General features: G+C 47.8%; 1 protein-coding gene and 1 long non-coding RNA gene across 6 annotated transcripts in view, besides 1 other annotated feature; one reads left to right on the top strand and one right to left on the bottom strand.

Annotated features, from left to right (window-relative positions):
* The window catches only part of FGD3 (FYVE, RhoGEF and PH domain containing 3), an 88,711-nt gene that overhangs the window by 47,321 nt on the left and 20,958 nt on the right, over positions 1-20,432 (top strand). For 4 of the 5 annotated variants that reach the window (NM_001083536.2, NM_001369951.1, NM_001286993.2 and 1 more), the window contains exons 4-9: positions 8,082-8,171; positions 9,158-9,294; positions 11,181-11,337; positions 15,403-15,541; positions 16,371-16,429; positions 19,009-19,155. In NM_001083536.2, the coding sequence (NP_001077005.1) occupies positions 8,082-8,171; positions 9,158-9,294; positions 11,181-11,337; positions 15,403-15,541; positions 16,371-16,429; positions 19,009-19,155 (729 nt within the window). The remainder of the gene's footprint in view (positions 1-8,081; positions 8,172-9,157; positions 9,295-11,180; positions 11,338-15,402; positions 15,542-16,370; positions 16,430-19,008; positions 19,156-20,432) is intronic. The other variant, NM_001369952.1, reaches the window with a different exon arrangement.
* Positions 8,924-9,218: a silencer, noted in NCBI's record as "tiled region #11306; HepG2 Repressive DNase matched - State 12:CtcfO". NCBI's record gives its function as "represses a minimal TATA promoter and a strong SV40 promoter by Sharpr-MPRA in HepG2 cells {active_cell/tissue: HepG2}" and the evidence as "EXISTENCE:reporter gene assay evidence [ECO:0000049][PMID:27701403]".
* On the bottom strand, positions 13,272-20,101 carry LOC101927954 (uncharacterized). Its single transcript, NR_121565.1, has 3 exons — positions 20,084-20,101; positions 18,348-19,651; positions 13,272-15,594 (listed from the first exon to the last, which is right to left on the bottom strand). It is a non-coding gene; the product is annotated as an uncharacterized LOC101927954 (long non-coding RNA).

Genomic DNA, 20,432 nt, shown 5'->3' on the forward strand with positions numbered 1-20,432 from the left:
GGTACCAGTACCATGCTGTTTTGGTTACTGTAGCCTTGTAATATAGTTTGAAGTCGGGTAGCATGATGCCTCCAGCTTTGTTCTTTTGGCTTAGGATTGTCTTGGCAATGCGGGCTCTTTTTTGGTTCCATATGAACTTTAAAGTAGTTTTTTCCAATTCTGTGAAGAAAGTCATTGGTAGCTTGATGGGGATGGCATTGAATCTATAAATTACCTTGGTCAGTATGGCCATTTTCACAATATTGATTCTTCCTATCCATGAACATGGAATGTTCTTCCATTTGTTTGTGTCCTCTTTTATTTCGTTGAGCAGTGGTTTGTAGTTCTCCTTGAAGAGGTCCTTCACATCCCTTGTAAGTTGGATTCCTAGGTATTTTATTCCCTTTGAAGCAATTGTGAATGGGAGTTCACTCATGATTTGGCTCTCTGTTTGTCTGTTATTGGTGTAAAGGAATGCTTGTGATTTTTGCAAATTGATTTCGTATCCTGAGACTTTGGTGAAGTTGCTTATCAGCTTAAGGAGATTTTGGGCTGAGATGATGGGGTTTTCTAAATATACAATCATGTCATCTGCAAACAGGGACAATTTGACTTCCTCTTTTCCTAATTGAATATGCTTTATTTCTTTCTCTTGCCTGATTGCCCTGGCCAGAACTTCCAACACTACGTTGAATAGGAGTGGTGAGAGAGGGCATCCCTGTTTTATGCCAGTTTTCAAAGGGAATGCTTCCAGTTTTTGCTCATTCAGTATGATATTGGCTGTGGGTTTGTCATAAATAGCTCTTATTATTTTGAGATATGTCCCATCAATATCTAGTTTATCAAGAGTTTTTAGCATGAAAGGCTGTTGAATTTTGTTGAAGGCCTTTTCTGCATCTATTGAGATAATCATGTGGTTTTTGTCTTTGGTTCTGTTTATATGATGGATTACATTTATTGATTTGTGTATGTTGAACCAGCCTTGCATCCCAGGGATGAGGCCAACTTGATGGTGATGGATAAGCCTTTTGATGTGCTGCTGGATTCAGTTTGCCAGTATTTTATTGAGGATTTTGGTATCGATGTTCATCAGGGATATTGGTCTAAAATTCTCTTTTTTTTTGTTGTGTCTCTGCCAGGCTTTGGTATCAGGATGTTGTTGGCCTCATAAAATGAAATAGGGAAGATAACCTCTTTTTCTATTGATTGGAATAGTTTCAGAAGGAATGGTACCAGCTCCTCTTTGTACCTCTGGTAGAATTCGGCTGTGAATCCTTCTGGTCCTGGACTTTTTTTGGTTGGTAGGCTATTAATTATTGCCTCAATTTCAGAACCTGTTATTGGTCTATTCAGGGATTCAACTTCTTCCTGGTTTAGTCTTGGGAGGGTGTTATGTGTCCAGGAATTTATCCATTTCTTCTAGATTTTCTAGTTTATTTGCATAAAGGTGTTTATAGTATTTGCTGATGGTAGTTTGTATTTCTGTGGGATCGGTGGTGATATCCTCTTTATCATTTTTTATTGCTATTTGATTTTTCTCTCTTTTCTTCTTTATTAGTCTTGCTAATGGTCTATCCATTTTGTTGATCTTTTCAAAAAACCAGCTCCTGGATTCATTGATTTTTTTGAAGGGTTTTTTGTGTCTCTGTCTCCTTCAGTTCTGCTCTGATCTTAGTTATTTCTTGCCTTCTGCTAGCTTTTGAATGTGTTTGCTCTTGCTTCTCTAGTTCTTTTAATTGTGATGTTAGGGTGTCCATTTTAGATCTTTCCTGCTTTCTCTTGTGAGCATTTAGTGCTATAAATTTCGCTCTACACCCTGCTTTAAATGTGTCCCAGAGATTCTGGTATGTTGTGTCTTTGTTCTCATTGGTTTCAAAGAACATCTTTATTTCTTCCTTCATTTCGTTATGTACCCAGTAGTCATTCAGGAGCAGGTTGTTCAGTTTCCATGTAGTTGAGCGGTTTTGAGTGAGTTTCTTAATCCTGAGTTCTAGTTTGATTGCACTGTGGTCTGAGAGACAGTTTGTTATAGTTTTTGTTCTTTTACCTTTGCTGAAGAGTGCTTTACTTCCAACTATGTGGTCCATTTTGGAATAAGTGTGATGTGGTGCTGAGAAGAATTTATATTCTGTTGATCTGGGGTGTAGAGTTCTGTAGATGTCTATTAGGTCCACTTGGTGCAGAGCTGAGTTCAATTCCTGGATATCCTTGTTAACTTTGTCTTGTTGATCTGTCTAATGTTGACAGTGGGGTGTTAAAGTCTCCCATTATTTTTGTGTGGGAGTCTAAGTCTCTTTGTAGGTCTCTAAGGACTTGCTTTATGAATATGGGTGCTCCTGTATTGGGTGCATATATATTTAGGATAGTTAGCTCTTCTTGTTGAATTGGTCCCTTTACCATTATGCAATGGCCTTCTTTGTCTCTTTTGATCTTTGTTGGTTTAAAGACTGTTTTATCAGAGACTAGGATTGCAACCCCTGCTTTTTTGTTTTCCATTTGCTTGATAGATCTTCCTCCATCCCTTTATTTTGAGCCTATGTGTGTCTCTGCACGTGAGACGGGTCTCTTGAATACAGCACATTGATGGGTCTTGACTCTTTATCCAATTTGCCAGTCTGTGTCTTTTAATTGGAGCATTTAGCCCATTTACATTTAAGTTTAATATTCTTATGTGTGAATTTGATCCTGTCATTATGATGTTAGCTGGTTATTTTGCTCGTTAGTTGATGCAGTTTCTTCCTAGCATTGATGGTCTTTATAATTTGGCACGTTTTTGCAGTGGCTGGTACCGGTTGTTCCTTTCCATATTTAGTGCTTCCTTCAGGACCTCTTGTAAGGCAGGCCTGGTGGTAACAAAACCTCTCAGCATTTGTTTGTCTGTAAAGGATTTTATTTCTCCTTCACTTGTGAAGCTTAGTTTGGCTGGATATGAAATTCTGGGTTGAAAATACTTTAAGAATGTTGAATATTGGCCCCCACTCTCTTCTGGCTTGTAGAGTTTCTGCCGAGAGATCCACTGTTAGTCTGATGGGCTTCCCTTTGTGGATAACCCAACCTTTCTCTCTGGCTGCCCTTAACATTTTTTCCTTCATTTCAACTTTGGTGAATCTGACAATTATGTGTCTTGGAGTTGCTCTTCTCAAGGAGTATCTTTGTGGCATTCTCTGTATTTCCTGAATTTGAATGTTGGCCTGCCTCACTAGGTTGGCGAAGTTCTCCTGGATAATATCCTGCAGAGTGTTTTCCAACTTGGTTCCATTCTCCCCGTCACTTTCAGGTACACCAATCAGACAGAGGTTTGGTCTTTTCACATAGTCTCATATTTCTTGGAGGCTTTGTTTGTTTCTTTTTACTCTTTTTTCTCTAAACTTCTCTTCTCACTTCATTTCATTCATTTGATCTTCAATCACTGATACCCTTTCTTCCACTTGATCAAATCAGCTACTGAAGCTTGTGCATGCGTCACGTAGTTCTCCTGCCATGGTTTTCAGCTCCATCAGGTCATTTAAGGACTTCTCTACACTGGTTATTCTAGTTAGCTATTCGTCTAACCTTTTTTCAAGGTTTTTAGCTTCTTTGCGATGGGTTCAAACATCCTCCTTTAGCTTGGAGAAGTTTGTTATTACCAATCATCTGAAGCTTACTTTCGTCAACTCACCAAAGTCATTCTCCTTCCAGCTTTGTTCCGTTGCTGGCAAGGAGCTGTGTTCCTTTGGAGGAGAAGAGGTGCTCTGATTTTTAGAATTTTCAGCTTTTCTGCTCTGGTTTCTCCCCATCTTTGTGGTTTTATCTACCTTTGGTCGTTGATGATGGTGACATACAGATGGGATTTTGGTGTGGATGTCCTTTCTGTTTGTTAGTTTTCTGTCTAACAGTCAGGACCCTCAGCTGCAGGTCTGTTGGAGTTTGCTGGAGGTCCACTCCCTGTTTGCCTGGGTATCACAAGTGGAGGCTGCAGAACAGCAAATATTGCAGAACAGCAAATGTTGCTGTCTGATCCTTCTTCTGGAAGCTTTGTCTCAGAGGGGCACCCGGCTGTATGGGGTGTCAGTCGGCCCCTACTGGGAAGTGTCTCCCAGTTAGGCTACTCGGGGGTCAGGGACCCACTTGAGGAGGCAGTCTGTCCATTCTCAGATCTCAAACTCTGTGCTGGGAGAAGCACTACTCTCTTCAAAGCTGTCAGACAGGGACGTTTAACTCTGCAGAAGTTTCTGCTGCCTTTTGTTCAGCTATGCCCTACCCCCAGAGGTGGAGTCTACAGAGGCAGGCAGGCTTCCTTGAGCTGTGGTGGGCTCCACTCAGTTCGAGTTTCCCGGCGGCTTTGTTTACCTACTCAAGCCTCAGCAATGGTGGACGCCCCTCCCCCAGCCTCGCTGCTGCCTTGCAGTTCAATCTCAGACTGCTGTGCAAGCAGTGAGCAAGGCTCCGTGGGCGTGGGACCCTCTGAGCCAGGCGAGGGATATAATCTCCTGGTGTGCCGTTTGCTAAGGCCATTGGAAAAGCACAGTATTAGGGTGGGAGTGTCTCGATTTTCCAGGTACCGTCTGTCACGGCTTCCCTTTGCTAGGAAAGGGAATTCCCCAACCCCTTGTGCTTCCCGGGTGTGGCAATGCCCCACCCTGCTCCATGGGCTGCACCCACTGTCTGACAAGCCCCAGTGAGATCAACCTGGTACCTCAATCGGAAATGCAGAAATCATCCGTCTAATGCGTCGCTTATGCTGGGAGCTGCAGACTGGAGCTTTTCCTATTCAGCCATCTTGGAACCTTTTTTTTTTTTTTTTTTTTTAAAGACAGAGTCTTGGTCTGTTTCCCAGGCTGGAGTGCAGTGGCACAATCTCAGCTCGCTGTAACCTCCGCCTCCCGGGTTCAAGCGATTCTCCTGCCTCAGCCTCCTGAGTAGCTGGGATTACAGGTGCCTACTATCACGCCCAGCTAATTTTTGTATTTTTAGTTGAGATGGGGTTTTACCATGTTGGTCAGGCTCGTTTCAAACTCCTGACTTCATGATCTCCCTGCCTTGTCCTCTCAAAGTGCTGGGATTACAGGTGTGAGCCACCACGCCTGGCTGCCAATATGTCTTTTGATTGGGAAGTTTAATCCATTTACATTTAAAGTAGTTACTGATAGGAAAGGACCTACTACTGCCATTTGGTTGTTTTCTGGATGTCTTATAGGTTTTTTGTGTCCCTCCTTTACTCTCTTACTATCTTTCTTTGTGTTTAATTGATTTTTTTTTGTAGTGATATGCTTTTATTTCTTTCTCATTTCCTTTTTTATCTATAGATATTTTATTTGTGGTTACCATTGCAATTACATAAAACATTTTAAAGTTATAGCATTCTATTTTAAACTAATAACAACTTCAATCACATGCAAAAACTCTACTCTTTTACAATTCCACCTCCCTCTCCCTGCTCTGATTGATGTCATGAATTCATCTTTATTTATTCATATAGATTTAAATGTTTAAATGTTTTTGTGATTTGAATTCTATGCACCAAAAGGATAATAGTACAAATTATTGTATTTATCCATGTGTTCACCTTCACTGAAGAACTTTATATTATCCTGTGGTTTTGTGTTGCTTTTTACTATCCTTTTGTTTTAACATAAAGTACTCCTTAATCTTTTTTATTTTAGAGCACATTTAATGGCAAAGAACTCCCTCAGTTTTTGTTTAACTGGAAAAGTGTTTATTTCTCCATTTTTGAATAACAGTTTTATCAAATACAATATTCTTTGTTGACAGTTTTTTTTTCTTTCAGCACTTTGAATGTATCCTCCCTCTGCCTTCTGGTCTGCAAAGTTACCACTGACAGATCCTCTCATAATCTTATGGAAGACCCCTTACATGAGACAAATTATTTTTCTCTCGCTGCTTTCAAGATTTTCTTTGTATTTGACTTTAGACAGTTATATAATTATAATATGTCTTGGTATGGTTCTCTGTTGATTTACCCCAGTTGGAGGTCTTTGAGATTCTTGAATTTTTAAGTCCATTGCTTTCCTCAAATTTGGGAAATGTTCAGCCATTATTTCTGTAAATAAACTCTTTGCCCCTTTCTCTCTCTTCTCTTTTGGAACTTACAAGTGCATATATTGATCTACTTGATAGTGGCCCATACATCCCTTAGGCTCTCCTTGCTCTTCTTTCTTTTTTTTTTCTTATCTGACTCTATGATTTCAAATGACCTCTCTTCAGGTTTGCCCAGTTTTTCTTCTGCCTGATCAAGTCTGCTGTCAAACCCCTCTTAAAAATTTGTCGGTTCAATTAAAGTGTATTTCAGCTCCAGAATGTCTGGTTTGTCCTTTTTAATAGTTTCTATCTCTTTGTTGATATTCTCACTTTGTTCATGCATCATTTCCTGATTTTTTTTTAAAGTCATCTATCTGTTCTCTTTTATCTCATTGAGCATCTTTATGACAACTATTTCGATGTTTTTTCTCAAGCAGCTCATAGATCTGTGTTTCCTTAAGATCAGTTTTGAAGTTTTTTATTTTGTTCCTTTGATTGGGCTACATTTTTCTGTTTCTTTGTAGCTAATTTTGTTTCATCTAGAAGGTCAGAAGCAAAAAATGCTTGCTAAGTCTGATTAAAAGAGCCCCAGTACCTTCAAGGCCTGTCTACTGTGGTACTGGAGTGATTATTTCTATCTTATCTTCTTTACAGCTTGGTCTGGAGAGCTGCCTTAGACTCTCCAATGAATCTATTCAAATAGCTGCCTCTGTTACCTTGACTTGTCTCAGATTCCGTTGACCCAAGATGGGTCCTGGCACTAGGAATATAAGACTGCTTCCATTATTTTGACTTGCTCCAGGTTAGGGAGAAGATTATGCAAGGCTCCTACTGACTGTGTTTTATTTCTAGCTTTGATGTCTGGGCACTGATTTCCCTAGGTTTAACTACTTGCTCCATGTTAAGGCCATGCTGTGGAAATCTGTCTGTGTGACTGTCATGCAGGCCTGTCTATGTGATTGTCAGGGAGAATTGGCCTGCCACAATAGGGCCTTCAGGAGGTGATTAAGTAATGAAGTCAGAGCCATCATGAATAGCATTAGGGCCTTTATAAAAGAGAAAGTTCATGGGTTTGCTCTCTGCTCTTCCACCATGTGAAGACACAGCCTTCATCTCCCTTTTTCTCTTCTACTGCTTCCACTATGTGAGGGGATAGTGTTCAGGCCACCATCTTGGAAGCAGAGATCAACCCTCAGAAGTGTGAGAAATAAACTTCTTTTGTTTAGAAATTACCCAGTCTCAGGCATTTTCAGTGAAAACTTCCATAGTGATGATTTCCAGCTTTAATTAGCTCATACTCTGTGCCCTGTCCTGCATGAAGTGTTTCATATGTGTTGTTCCACTCCATCCTCATAACATCCCTGTGATGTAGGTACTAGGTGGTGACGCTGCTGCTTTGCATTTGGGGTCACTGAAACTTACAGAGGTTTGTTAGCCTGCCCAATGTCAAAAACAGGAGGAGGCCAGGCACGGTGGCTCACACCTGTAATCCCAGCATTTTGGGAGGCTGAGGCGGGCAGATAGGTTGAGTCCAGGAGTTCAAGACCAGCCTGGGCAACATGGCAAAACCTCATCTCTACAAAACGAAAATAGAAAAAAACTAGCTGGACATGGTGGTACGCATGTAGAGCAGGTAAAATGGACTAAGACAAGCTTGCCAAACATCACCAATTTCCCTACACCTTTTACTGAAATCTTTTCTTGGCTTTATAATGGCTTGGGTGCTGTAGCTTCTCGGCTGGTCTCTGGAATTCTCACACAGGTGCTCTGGCCCATATATTGTTGTTAACCTTATGTCTCTGAGCAGAAGGAGGGCCGAGAGCTGTTTAGTCCATCATCTTGCTGACATCACTGTGCAATATATTTTGACGTGGTCGCTGCAACTGCTCTGTAGTCAAAGGCCCATCTATGAGAACTGAGCACCACATCGCCATCACAGTGGCCCCTCCTGCCCCTTCTCTTGCCCCAGTGGCCTCCTGCCACCCCTGTGGCCCCTGGTTCTCCTGCACACAGTGGCAGCCCGTTAGGTGCCGATTCCCCAAGGCTCATCTTCCCCAGGTGAGCTGCATCTCTTCTCTCCGCAGCACTCTGGCCCCCAGAAGCTTCTCCACATTGCCCAGGAGCTCCTGCACACCGAGGAGACCTATGTGAAGCGGCTGCACCTGCTGGACCAGGTAGCCCACATGGCTTGGGGGCAGTTTCAGTATCTCTTAGCATTGGCTGGGCATTATAGGTGCAGTGTGAATGACTTAAATACTAAAACTCAGACAAATTTAAGTCTGGTCTACAAACTTTTTTTTTTTTTTGAGACAAAGTCTCACTCTGTCACCCAAGCTGGAGTGCAGTGGCGCGATCTTGGCTCACTGCAACCTCCGCCTCTCCAGTTCAAGCAATTCTCCTGTCTCAGCCTCCCGAGTAGCTGGGACTACAGGCACATGCCACCACGCCCAGCTAATTTTTGTATTTATAGTAGAGACGGGGTTTCACCATATTTGTCAGGCTGGTCTTGAACTCCTGACCTCAGGTGATCCACCAGCCTCGGCCTCCCAAAGTCCTGGGATTACAGGCGTGAGCCACCACGCCCGTCCTAGAAACTTATTTTTTGTTTTCAGTGCTTGTAGCTCTGAGGAGAAGGCTTTGCCAAGTCACCTGTGGGACATTTCTTCTTGGCAGCTGCATGATCTGAGCATGTAAATGGCTTCTGGATGTTTTTCTGCATAAGTACTTGGGACAGGGTTTGCCACTCATCTCTATCCACATGACAACGTGGGGTTTATGAGCACAGGAAATAAAGCACCCATGGAAGCTGGGGTTTTGACAGACAGTGCTGCTGCTGTTTTTATCTCACGAGAAAGAAAAGGAAGTCTGAACCTTCCATTTCGCATGAGAGGTGGCTGAGGAAAGATGTCATTCCCTGTCCTCAGGCGACTGTCCCTGCCTCACCCACATTCGTAAGTCATAAGTGAGCTTGCATTAAGACCATGAGGTTGTCTGAACCAGTTGGATGAAAAGGGAGGACAATAATTCTGAAATTCATTAAGAAAACACAAGGTGGCAGCAGCGGCCCCTCCCGAGCGCCCTCACCTGTGGCCGAAGCGGGGCGGCAACTGTGCTCAGTGGAAGAGGCTCACTGGCCACACGTGGGCTTCTCTATGCTCAGGTTTTCTGCACCAGGCTGACGGATGCGGGGATCCCTCCAGAAGTCATCATGGGCATATTCTCTAACATCTCCTCCATCCACCGCTTCCACGGGCAGTTCCTGCTGCCGGAGCTGAAGACGCGGATCACGGAGGAGTGGTGAGTACCATCTGCGCATGCCCATGGGGCCCCTCAAGTGTTCTCTAGACCAGGGTTCATGTGCCTGAGAGCGAGGCAAGTGCTGGGGGACTGTCTCATGGTGGCTGGGCGCCTCCCTTCTCTGCACGGTCCTGGGTCCGATCCAGACTCCACCCCTTCCTGGTTGGTGACCTTGACCAGCCACTTACGGTCTCCAAGGCTTAGTTCCTGAGAAAGCAGATGATGCGGAATGAAGGGCTTTTAACGCCCCACTTGGGGCTCTGAAACTAAAATGAGGTTTGACATCTGGAAACACCACACAGTGGATAGTGCTAGTTGGTTTTCTTTTCCCTCCTAGCTTATACTCCACCTTTGTTTTAAAAATGCTGTTTTTCCCTCTCAACAGTGGACCTCAGATCCTCCTCCTGCTGTCCCTGTGGCCTGTCCCTCTGTCCCACTGCTGCTTCTGTTCATTAGCAGAGGGACAGCTCAGTGCAAGTCACAATTCATGAAACATCCCAGGCTGGCCCCCAGACTCATCAGTTCCCCACGTTGCGTGTTGCGTTTCCCCTCATTCTGGGTGCCGCTGCTGTTTGACTTAGGGTCTCTACTGCCTGTGCCCTTCGCAGGCCCGGCTTCCCTCTGCATCAGGAGCCTGGCCCTTCTGTGTCCCACCAGCCCGTTCTCCAAGCTGCAACCCAGGAGACCACAGAGGCTTGACTGGAATGGGAGGCCAGGGGGAGTCCCTTCACCTGTTGCTCAGGGAGGGGCTATGTCAATTTATAAATCTGTACAAGGACATGGTCCAGCTGCCGAACAGGTTTACATTGTGTCCCCGAGGCAGTCAGGACTGGATGCAGCCTTCTGGCTGACAAAAATCCATGCTTGGTAGAGACAGGTTTTCTCCTGCAAGGCCCTGGAGACTGCTAACTCATGAGTGCATGTGTGACCTCCTCTGCAACTTTTATAACAGCACAGGGGTCCAATGACTTAGCCACCCTGCCCTTTGGACATTTTTTTTTTTTAAACAGAGTCTCACTCTGTTGCCCAGGCTGGAGTGCAGTGGCGTGATCTCAGCTCACTGCAAGCTCTGCCTCCTGGGTTCACACCATTCCCCTGCCTCAGCCTCCCAAGTAGCTGGGACTGCAGGCGCCCGCCACCACACCCGGCTAATTATTTGTATTTTTTTTTAAGTAGAGACGGGGTTTCACCGTGTTGGCCAGGATGGTCTCGATCTCCTGACCTTGTGATCTGCCCATCTCAGCCTCCCAAGTGCTGGATTACAGGCATGAGCCACCACACCCAGCCTGGACCTTTAAATTAAATGTATAAGTGCAGTTCACAGTCATGCCTTAGTGATGGCTTTGTGCCTGTGGCTTTTTTCTTTCTTTTTGAAACAGTCCTAAGGTCAAAGACGATTAGTATATTTTTCTGTTTCTTGAAAATTATTTGCAAATCTCTGTCCAAAGCAGCTTTTTTCATTATCAGTACTACAAAGAGCTACTTTCCCCAGGACTTCACCAGCATTGGATAGAACCATTGTTTCTAATCTTTGCCCATTTAAAAGGAGCATAATGGTATTTTGTTGGTTCTCTTTGATAACTGTGGTTCATCATTCAAGCGATTCTGCTACTACTGCTATCTCCTGTGTCTGGGTCACTGGTTCTAAGCTTGCAGCTTGGACTTTTAACTGTTTTACAGGCATCTTTCATTTAATTGCCCAGTTACTATTTTCTACTCTACATGACATAGGGGAGGAAGCTAAGGCTCAGAGAGGGTGACCAATTTGCTCACCATCACACAGAGCTGGCCTCCACCCCACACCCCCCTGGTGGAGTTCATGTCCACTAACCTCAGAGTCCCCATTGCACCCAGCTATTTCTCTGATGATTCATTTCTCCACGAAGGGACACAAACCCACGGCTCGGGGACATCCTGCAGAAGCTGGCCCCATTCCTGAAGATGTACGGCGAGTATGTCAAGAACTTTGACCGAGCCGTAGGGCTGGTGAGCACGTGGACCCAGCGCTCCCCACTGTTTAAAGACGTCGTCCACAGCATCCAGGTAAGGCCGGCAGTGGGAGTGTGGACACAGATGTTCTCAAGATGCACAGAGCCTGGTGTTTTATTTTTTAAAAACATATGTATATATGTATATTTTACTCCAAAAAGTAACATGACATTACTAAAATTTTGGAACATAGAGAAAATTAGGAAAATTATGGGATGTGCCCAGATGTTCTGTTGATGCTTTGAGCCTTACAATAACTCCCAGAGATGAATCAGCATTCCCATCGGAAAATCGTGGCTCAAGAGGCTGTGCAAGCTACAGCATCACGAGCTATTATCTGATGGAACCTGAATTCAAAGGACAGTCTCTGATTGCACAGTGTCCCTCGATATCTAGTGCAGGCATTTTTGTTTAAATGTTACATTGCTTTTTTGTTTTTCGCTTTCTGCTAAGAGCCTCCTCACAGCCCTGGCTTCTCTTGTCTCCTATAGGGCTGGTCTCTTTCTTCTTGATTCACAAGGCTTTTATATGCTAAGAACATCAACTTCTTTCTGTCATGCATGTCACAGATTATTTTCCCCCATTGATCTTTTATTTTTTTATTTTATTTTTTTTTTTGAGACAGAGTCTCACTCTGTTGCCCAGGCTGGAGTGTAGTGGCACGATCTCGGCTCACTGCAACCTCTGCCTCCAGGGTTTACACCATTCTCCTGCCTCAGCCTCCCGAGTAGCTGGGAATACAGGCGCCCACCACCACGCCCAGCTAATTTTTTTGTATTTTTAGGAGAGATGGGGTTTCACTGTGTTAGCCAGGATGGTCTCGATCTCCTGACCTCATGATCCGCCCTCCTTGGCCTCTCAAAGTGCTGGGATTACAGGCGTGAGCCACCGCGCCCCGCCTGATCTTTTAACTTTATGGTGGTGTTTGCCATACAGAATTTTTTATTTTTTATTTTTATTCATTTATTTTTTAATTTTTTTTGAAACAGAGTCTCACTCTGTAGCCCAGGCTGGAGTGCAGTGGCGCGATCTCAGTTCACTGTAAGCTCCGCCTCCCAGGTTCACGCCATTCTCCTGCCTCAGCCTCCTGAGTAGCTGGGACTACAGGCGCCCGCCACCACGCCCGGCTAATTTTTTATATTTTTTAGTAGAGACGGGGTTTCACCATGTTAGCCAGGATGTCTCGATTTCCTGACCTTGTGATCCACCCACCTCGGCCTCCCAAAGTGCTAGGATTACAGGCGTGAGCCACCGCGCCTGGCCCAGAATTTTTTATTTTTAAGTAACTCCATTCACCACTTCTTAAAATGTAAAGCTTATTTTCAAATGCATTTCCCACTACCCAAGACTATATAACCCCATCTCTACTAAAAATACAAAAATTAGCTGGGCGTGACATGCCTATAGTCCCAGTTACTCTGAAGGCTGATTCAGGAGAATTGCTTGAACCGAGAGGCAGAGGTTGCAGTGAGCTGAGATCGCGCCTGCCATGTCCTGGATGACATCTGCCTGGGGACACTCGAGGCAGACACAGCCCCGGTTGCAGGCTAGCCACTGGTCTGTGCATCCCCTCATCCTAGGCAGATTGGGCACAGGGCCAGGCAGGCTGTGGGGAGGGCTCTCCGCCTGGACTCAGTACCATCCAGCCATTCCCTGAAGGTGACTTTGCCCCCCGGGGATCCCAGGCCATATCTTCACACATTGGGTGCACCCAGCATCTGGTGGGTGGGGTCTGGGGATGCTGCAAAACACGTTGCAGCAGACAGCATGGCCCACCGCAGAGAATTCTCCAACCCGAAGGTCCATAGTGCCCAGGCTGAGAAGACCTGGTGTGGAAAAAACAGGATCGCATGACAGTCAAGTTGCCCATGGCCTTTTGCAGGTTTCCTTCCTTTAATCAAAGGATATTTTAAACGTTAAACTTTTATTTTGAAATAACTTTAAACCTTTACAGGAAAGTTGCAAAAATGACATTGTTATGCATTATTAACATTTTGTCTGGCTTACTTTATTATTCCCTCTAAACTCATACAGATGATGATGACTTTTGAGCGTTTTGAAACTAAGTTGCAGACACCGTAACCCTTTATCACTAAACATGTGAACAAGGATATTCTCTTGCGTACTCCCAGCACAGTGATCAAAATCGGGGATTTTACACTGATGTCCTGGTGCTATCTACTCCGCAGCCCACACTCAGATGTCACCGATTGTCCCAATAACATTCTTGTTTTCTGATCCATAACCCAACCCAGGGCCACACATTGCGCTCATTATTGTATTTGTCCTCTTGGGTCTGGAACAGGCCTCTGTCCTTGTCTTTTTGAGGGGTGCAGCCTAGTTACTTGTAGACTGCCTGCTTGGGTTTTTCTGCTGTTTGTCCACAGTTTGATTGAGGCTGTGCCTTTTCCTGGAGTGAGGCTGTGCTCTTCTCCCTGCGTCCTGCCCGGTGACGCAGTCTCTGCATCCCATTCCTGGGGATATTCACTTGATAAAGGGCGTGTCTGTCAGGACTCTTCAGGTGAAGTTGGGTTTTTTCCCCTATTAAGTTTCTTGGCCGCTTGTGGTAGCTCACGCCTCTAATCCCAGCACTTTGGGAGGCCCAGGTGGGCGGATCACCTGAGGTCAGAAGTGCGAGACCAGTCTGGGCAACATAGTGAAACCCTATCTCTACTAAAAATACAAAAATTAGCTGGGTGTGGTGGCACACTCATACCTGTAATCCCAGCTACTTGGGAGGCTGAGACAGAATTGCTTGAGCCGGGGAGGCGGAGGCTGTAGTGAGCCAAGATCACTCCACTACACTCCAGGCTGGGCAACAGAGCAAGACTCCATCAAAAAAAAAAAAAAAGTTTTGGCCAGGCGCGATGGCTCACGCTTGTAATCCTAGCACTTTGGGAGACCGAGGTAGGCAGATCACAAGGTCAGGAGTTCGAGACCAGCCTGACCAATATAGTGAAACCCCATCTCTACTAAAAATACAAAAATTAGCCAGGTGTGGTGGTGTGCACCTGTAATCCCAGTTACTTAGGAGGCTGAGGCAGGAGAATTGCTTGAACCTGGGAGGCGGAGGTTGCAGTGAGCCGAGATCGCGCCATTGCACTCCAGCCCAGGCAACAGAGCGAGACTCCGTCTCAAAAAAAAAAAAGTTTCTTGTAGGGAGATACTTGGAGATTATGTGAATATCTTGACAGAAACAGTTGTTTTTATGAAGATTGTCGACTTGGGTTTCTCTCACCCTGTTGTATCCCAGGCATTTTTGAGCTCATCTGAGCTGGAAGCCGTTCTGTTCTGGGCCCTGAGCCAGGTGAGGGTGGTTGAGGCCCTTGAGTTGCTGGCAGGTGGGTGGGGAAGCTGGTGGACAGGACGACAAAGTCAGCAGGCCCTCACAGGCTGCCCAGTGGGCATCATCAGGGGAGGCAGAGGCAAAGTGGCCTGGGCAGGAGGACCCGATTGGGGAGCACAGAGGCGACAGGTGGGCAGCATTCAGCACACGTGTCTGGGGTTCAGATGCCAGATGGAGACATGGCAGCAAGGAGGTGCTGCAGGGTGCGAGGGGAGGCACAGGGAGCCGGTGAGCAGAGCTGGGTACACGTGGAGCGCGAGGGTCTCAGCACCTGATTGGAATACTGGTGCGTTTATATCGAGAGCGATCTGCAGAAGGACTCCCCGAGCTGCTTCTAGGCATAAGGACAAGCCCTGGCCCGATACCCAGTGGGGATGGTTGGGCGAAGCTCTGCCTGATTTCTCAGCAGAGGGGTCGAAGGAGCCCTGCTTAGGCCCACGGGTGGGTGAGAGTGGGGAAAAGCCACTCTTGACAGGAGGAGACAGTCCTGTCCAGGCATTTATTTTCTCCACCGAGGATGCGTATAAGAGAGCCAGCTCTGGGCCAAGGGCCAGCCTGCCTGGGGTTCCAGTTCTTGCTCCATTGGTCAGTCTCTCTGAGCCTCAGTTTCCCTCGTTGTAAAGTGTGGTCTGTGTCAGCCATGTCTTGAAGGACAGTCAGTTCTGGGCAGCCAGTTCCGGGCAGCTTCCTGGGGCTGTGGTGGCCAGAAGCCGGTGGGGCTGGCATCCACACACGTGTCCTTGGAGTGCCCAATGCTCCCTCTGTCCCCACAGAAGCAGGAGGTATGCGGGAACCTGACGCTGCAGCACCACATGCTGGAGCCCGTGCAGAGGGTCCCCCGGTACGAGCTGCTGCTCAAGGACTATCTGAAGAGGCTCCCGCAGGACGCCCCAGACCGGAAGGATGCGGAGAGTGAGCTGGGGCCAAGGGCTCCCAGGAGGGTGCAGGGGCACCTGCCAAGAACTCTGGGGGTGGGGAGAGAGGGAGAGAGAGAGTCGTGGGGTCATGGGGGTAGGGGAGAGAGAAACAGAGAGACCAGAGGGAAAGAGACAGAGACAGAGGCAGGGGAGGGAGAGAGATGGAGACAGGGAGAGAGATAGGGAGATGTCAGGGAAAGAGAGGGAGAGGGAGGGAGAAACAGAGGGGAGGAGAGAGAGACACACAGAGACAGAGGAAGGAGGGGGAGAGAGAGGGATGGAGAAACAGACAGAGGGGAGGAGAGAGAGACACACAGAGACAGAGGAAGGAGGGGGAGAGAGAGAGAAAGAGAGAGAACAAGTGAGCCCCCTAGCAGCCCAGGAAGGGACTTAGCATCTTTGAGGGCAGAGAAAAATCTCCCCTGCTTGAAGTATGCGGGTGGACATTGGTCTGGGGAAGGTGCTACTAAATGCTGGCCCTGTTCAGAGCTTAGGCCCCAGGAATGGGCCTCATAGGGCTGGTGGGGGCTGCTCCTGGTCCAAGGGCAGCAACTGGTGTGGCTGGCAGGCAGCCCGGACAGGCGTCTGTGCAGAATCGTGGGAGCCCCCTGCCTGGTATTGGCCCCAGAAGGGATGTGTCTGCAGGGTCAGAGGCAGGGTCACCCCCTTCCTCTGGGCCAGTCCTCTAGAGTAGCCCAGGCACCCTGGGAAAGGCTGAGGGCAGAGACAGATCCTCTCTCTGGAGGCAGCTGCCCTGGAGCCCCTCAGGCAAGCAAAAACGGAGCCACCGTGGCCCCAGGCTGAACACAGTCTTCTTCCTGCAGGGTCCTTGGAGCTCATCTCCACAGCCGCCAACCACTCCAATGCTGCCATTCGGAAAGTGGTGAGTGTGGGGCTCCAGTGGCGACCGGCAGGGTGGTGCAGCAAGAGTGAGGGCCAGGGGCCCTTGTGGGCCAGCCCCTTTGCCGCTATCCTTTGGGGGGCTCCACAAGTGACTCTTTTATACCTCCTTCCACCCCCATCCCCAGGGGGGTCAGCTGGACAGCCCCGCCCCTTGCTATAATAGACCTGTGTCCTTGGTGAGTTATTTAGCACTCTATGCCTTAGTTTCCCCATCTATAAAATGGGAGCCCCGACAGAGCCTGTCTCACTGGGCATCTGTGGAGAGTAAAAGAATCACTCTATGGGCCGGGCGCGGTTGCTCATTCCTATAATCCCAGCACTTTGGGAGGCCGAGGCGGGCGGATCATGAGGTCAGGAGTTGGAGACCAGCCTGGCCAATATGGTGAAACCCCGTCTCTACTAAAAATACAAAAATTAGCTGGGCGTAGTGGTGTATGCCTGTAGTCCCAGTTACTTGGGAGGCTGAGGCAGAAGAATCGCTTGAACCTAGGAGGCAGAGGTTGCAGTGAGCCGAGATCGTGCCACTGCACTCCAGCCTGTGCAACAGAGTGAGACTCCGTCTCAAAAAAAAAAGAATCACTCTAGGCCAGGCGCGGTGGCTCACGCCTGTAATCCCAGCAATTTGGGAGGCCGAGGCGGGTGGATCATGAGGTCAGGAGATGGAGACCATCCTGGCTAATATGGTGAAACCCCATCTCTACTAAAAATACAAAAAATTGGGCATGGTGGCAGGCGACTGTAGTCCCAGCTACTCAGGAGGCTGAGGCAGGAGAATGGCATGAACCTGGGAGGCGGAGCTTGCAGTGAGCCGAGATCGCGCCACTGCACTCCAGCCTGGGCAACAGAGCAAGACTCTGTCTCAAAAAAAAAAAAAAAAAATGTATAACAAAAACCAGGGGGAAAAAAAGGAATTTCCTTTGTTTTCTAAGTATCCATTATGTTCCAGGTACTTTCCCTAGGCAGTTTCATTTAATTATACAAATCCAAGTCTTTTCACCCAAAACTCACACACCTCTCAGAGAACAGCTGTTTCATGACTCCTAAAACACTAAGGAGAGTGAGAGCTGCAACATGTCCAGGGTCAGCCCCAAGTCCTGCCCCACAAAGTGGTCCCCGGCCTGCCCCGGAAAGTGTCAGCCATGTGTTACCATGGAACTCAGCCCTAAATGGCCTGAGCCCATGGCAACTTTGTGTTCAAAAGCCTCAGCAAGGCCAGGCGTGGTGGCTCATGGCTGTAATCCCAGCACTTTGGAAGGCCGAGGTGGGCGAATTACTTGAGGTCAGGAGTTCAAGACCAGCATGGCCAACATGGTGAAACCCTGTCTCTACTAAAAATACAAAAATTAGCCAGGTGTGGTGGCTCACACCTGTGAGCCACCAGGTGTGGGCGGTGGCGGGGTGTGGGGGGGGGAAGAATCAATCTACATAGAATGCTCAGAACAGGACCTGCCTGGTGCAGGAAGTGTCAATGCTCAGTGTTATTGTCATTCATTCACTCACTAAAGCTGCATTAGTCCCTTCATGGACTGGCTCTGTGCTCACCCAGCCCCCTGGGACATGACAGGTGCACACCCAGCCCTCTTAGTGCACACCAGGTGCTTGCCCAGCCCTCCCAGTACATTCCAGGTGCATGCATTTCTCCACTATTAGACACCAGCTGCACACGCAGCTCCCCAGTACATACCAGGTTCACACCCAGCCCCCCTGGTACACACCAACTGCACACCCAGCCCCCAGTAGTGGGCAGGTGCACACCCAGCTCCCCTGTGTATATACCAGGTACCTGCCCATTCCCCCAGTTCTCAAAAGACCCTCACCCCTACCCTAGTCTGCTCCTCTAAGCTCTCTGCTGCTGGCTCCTCTGGTGCCCCCCACACCCTGTGCCCACTTGCACCTACCTGCATTGGTGCCAGAGACGGAAGGGTCAGCCAAACCCAGCCGCCTCCAGGATGTACAGGCTGAGATCACTCAGGTCCAAGGACGGGGCTTCCAAGGCACAGCAGGTACAGACTCAGACATGTGGCTGTTGTCGAGGTTGCCGCAGGCTCACCTCTGCGTTCTGCTACACTGGCGTCTGGCTCAGAGCTGAAGCATGAGCTTTGACGCTGTCCCATCGCACTTCTGGGTGCTGGTTACCCATGTGACCACCCCACCAGTCACCATGGTCAGGGGAAGGTGACATATGGATTGTCCGAGTCTGGGTCTCAGATACTCAACTGACCGCTCTGTGCCTCAGTTTCCTTGTCTGTAAAATGAAGATAACAATGGCACTCACCTCACTAGGTGAGTTAAAACATGTATCATGTAGAACAGCACATGGCTCACAGCAATGGTTAGCTCTGTTCCTGTTTATCGTTGTTTTTATGCTCTGCATGGTGAACTCCTATTCATCCTTCAATACCCAACTCAAACATCACTCTGTTTTCCCTCCCACCCTTGTCAGTAGCTCATTGCCCTCTCTGGATTCTGGGCCACGGTTGCAGGGAAGGACTCCGTGCATCTCTAGGTCACCAGCCACTCTCACAGACCTTTGGTGCCTGAGTCCCATGTCTCTTGCAGGAGAAAATGCACAAGCTCTTGGAGGTGTACGAGCAGCTGGGTGGGGAAGAAGACATTGTCAACCCGGCCAATGAACTGATCAAGGAGGGCCAAATCCAGAAACTGTCAGCCAAGAACGGCACCCCCCAGGACCGCCACCTCTTCCTGGTGAGCCTGGCCCCTGCCAGCCCAGCCGCAGAGCCTCCCTTGCCATTTGCCTCAAGCCCAGGGCAGTGCCAGGAGGGCTCTGGCTGCCCAAGGACATGGCTCTTCTGTGGCCTCTCCTACTGGGACTGTGGCTCCCTCTGAGACCCTCAGCATCCCTCCCCCAGCCATAGGGAGCCTCCCTCCTCCACATCCAGACACCAAACTTTTGCCAGTGGCTCTTCCCCATTTGCTGCAAATATCTCATTTTTTAATCCCTCGTAGCCCATACCTCTTTCGTCCCCAGAACTGAGCAGACTTCAGCTTGTAGCAACCAGGACAGCACAGAGAACTGTAGCAGTGAATCACAGTTTCAACTATTCCTGAGCCAAACCCTGGCCGGGAGGGAGGGGGAAGGTGGGATGGAAGTGTAATTCGAGACCCCCCCGGGTGCCATGGCGCGGTAGAAACAGATGTGGTTCTTCTTTCCTCCTCCATTTTCCTCTAGCTTCTGATTCTCCTTGAATAAACAATTATTTCTTTGAAAGGTTTTTTTTTAAGTTTTTAAAAATTACGTTAACTAAAACTCATTTTTGCTTTACAGTTCTGAGTTTTGACTAATACAGTTGTGACCACAATCAAGTTACAGAACAAGTTTTTTTTGTTTGTTTTTGTTTTTGTTTTTAAGACAGAGTCTCGCTCTGTCACCCAGGCTGGAGTACAGTGGCTCAATCTCGGCTCACTGTAACCTCCACCTCCCAGGTTCAAGCAATTGTCCTGCCTCAGCCTCCTGAGTAGCTGGGATTACAGGCGTGCGCCACCACGCCCGGCTAATTTTTGTATTTTTAGTAGAGATGGGGTTTCACCATGTTTATCAGTCTGGTCTCGAGCTCCTGACCTCAGGTGATCCACCCACCCAAAGTGCTGGGATTACAGGCGTGAGCCACCTCACCTGGCCAAGTTACAATTTGATCACTGCCCCCGCCCACCCCCCCAGTTCCCTTGTCCCACCCCTTTGTGAGCAAGCGCTCGCCTGCCCTGGCAACCATGGATCTCTTCTCTGTTTCTAGAATTTTGCCTTTCCCAAATGTCACATCAATGCCATGAGATGAGTCTGGCTCCTTTAGCTCACCATGTGGGTTTGAGAGATTCATCCATGTTGGTGAATGTATCAGTAGCTCATTCAAAAGATTTGGTTTGGCTGGACGTGGTGGCTCATACCTGTAATCCCAGCACTTTGGGAGGCTGAGGTGGGCGGATCACCTGAGGTCAGGACTTTGAGACCAGCCTGGCCAACATGG

Source organism: Homo sapiens, chromosome 9 (genome assembly GCF_000001405.40).
Source record: "Homo sapiens chromosome 9, GRCh38.p14 Primary Assembly".
Taxonomy (NCBI): domain Eukaryota; kingdom Metazoa; phylum Chordata; class Mammalia; order Primates; family Hominidae; genus Homo; species Homo sapiens.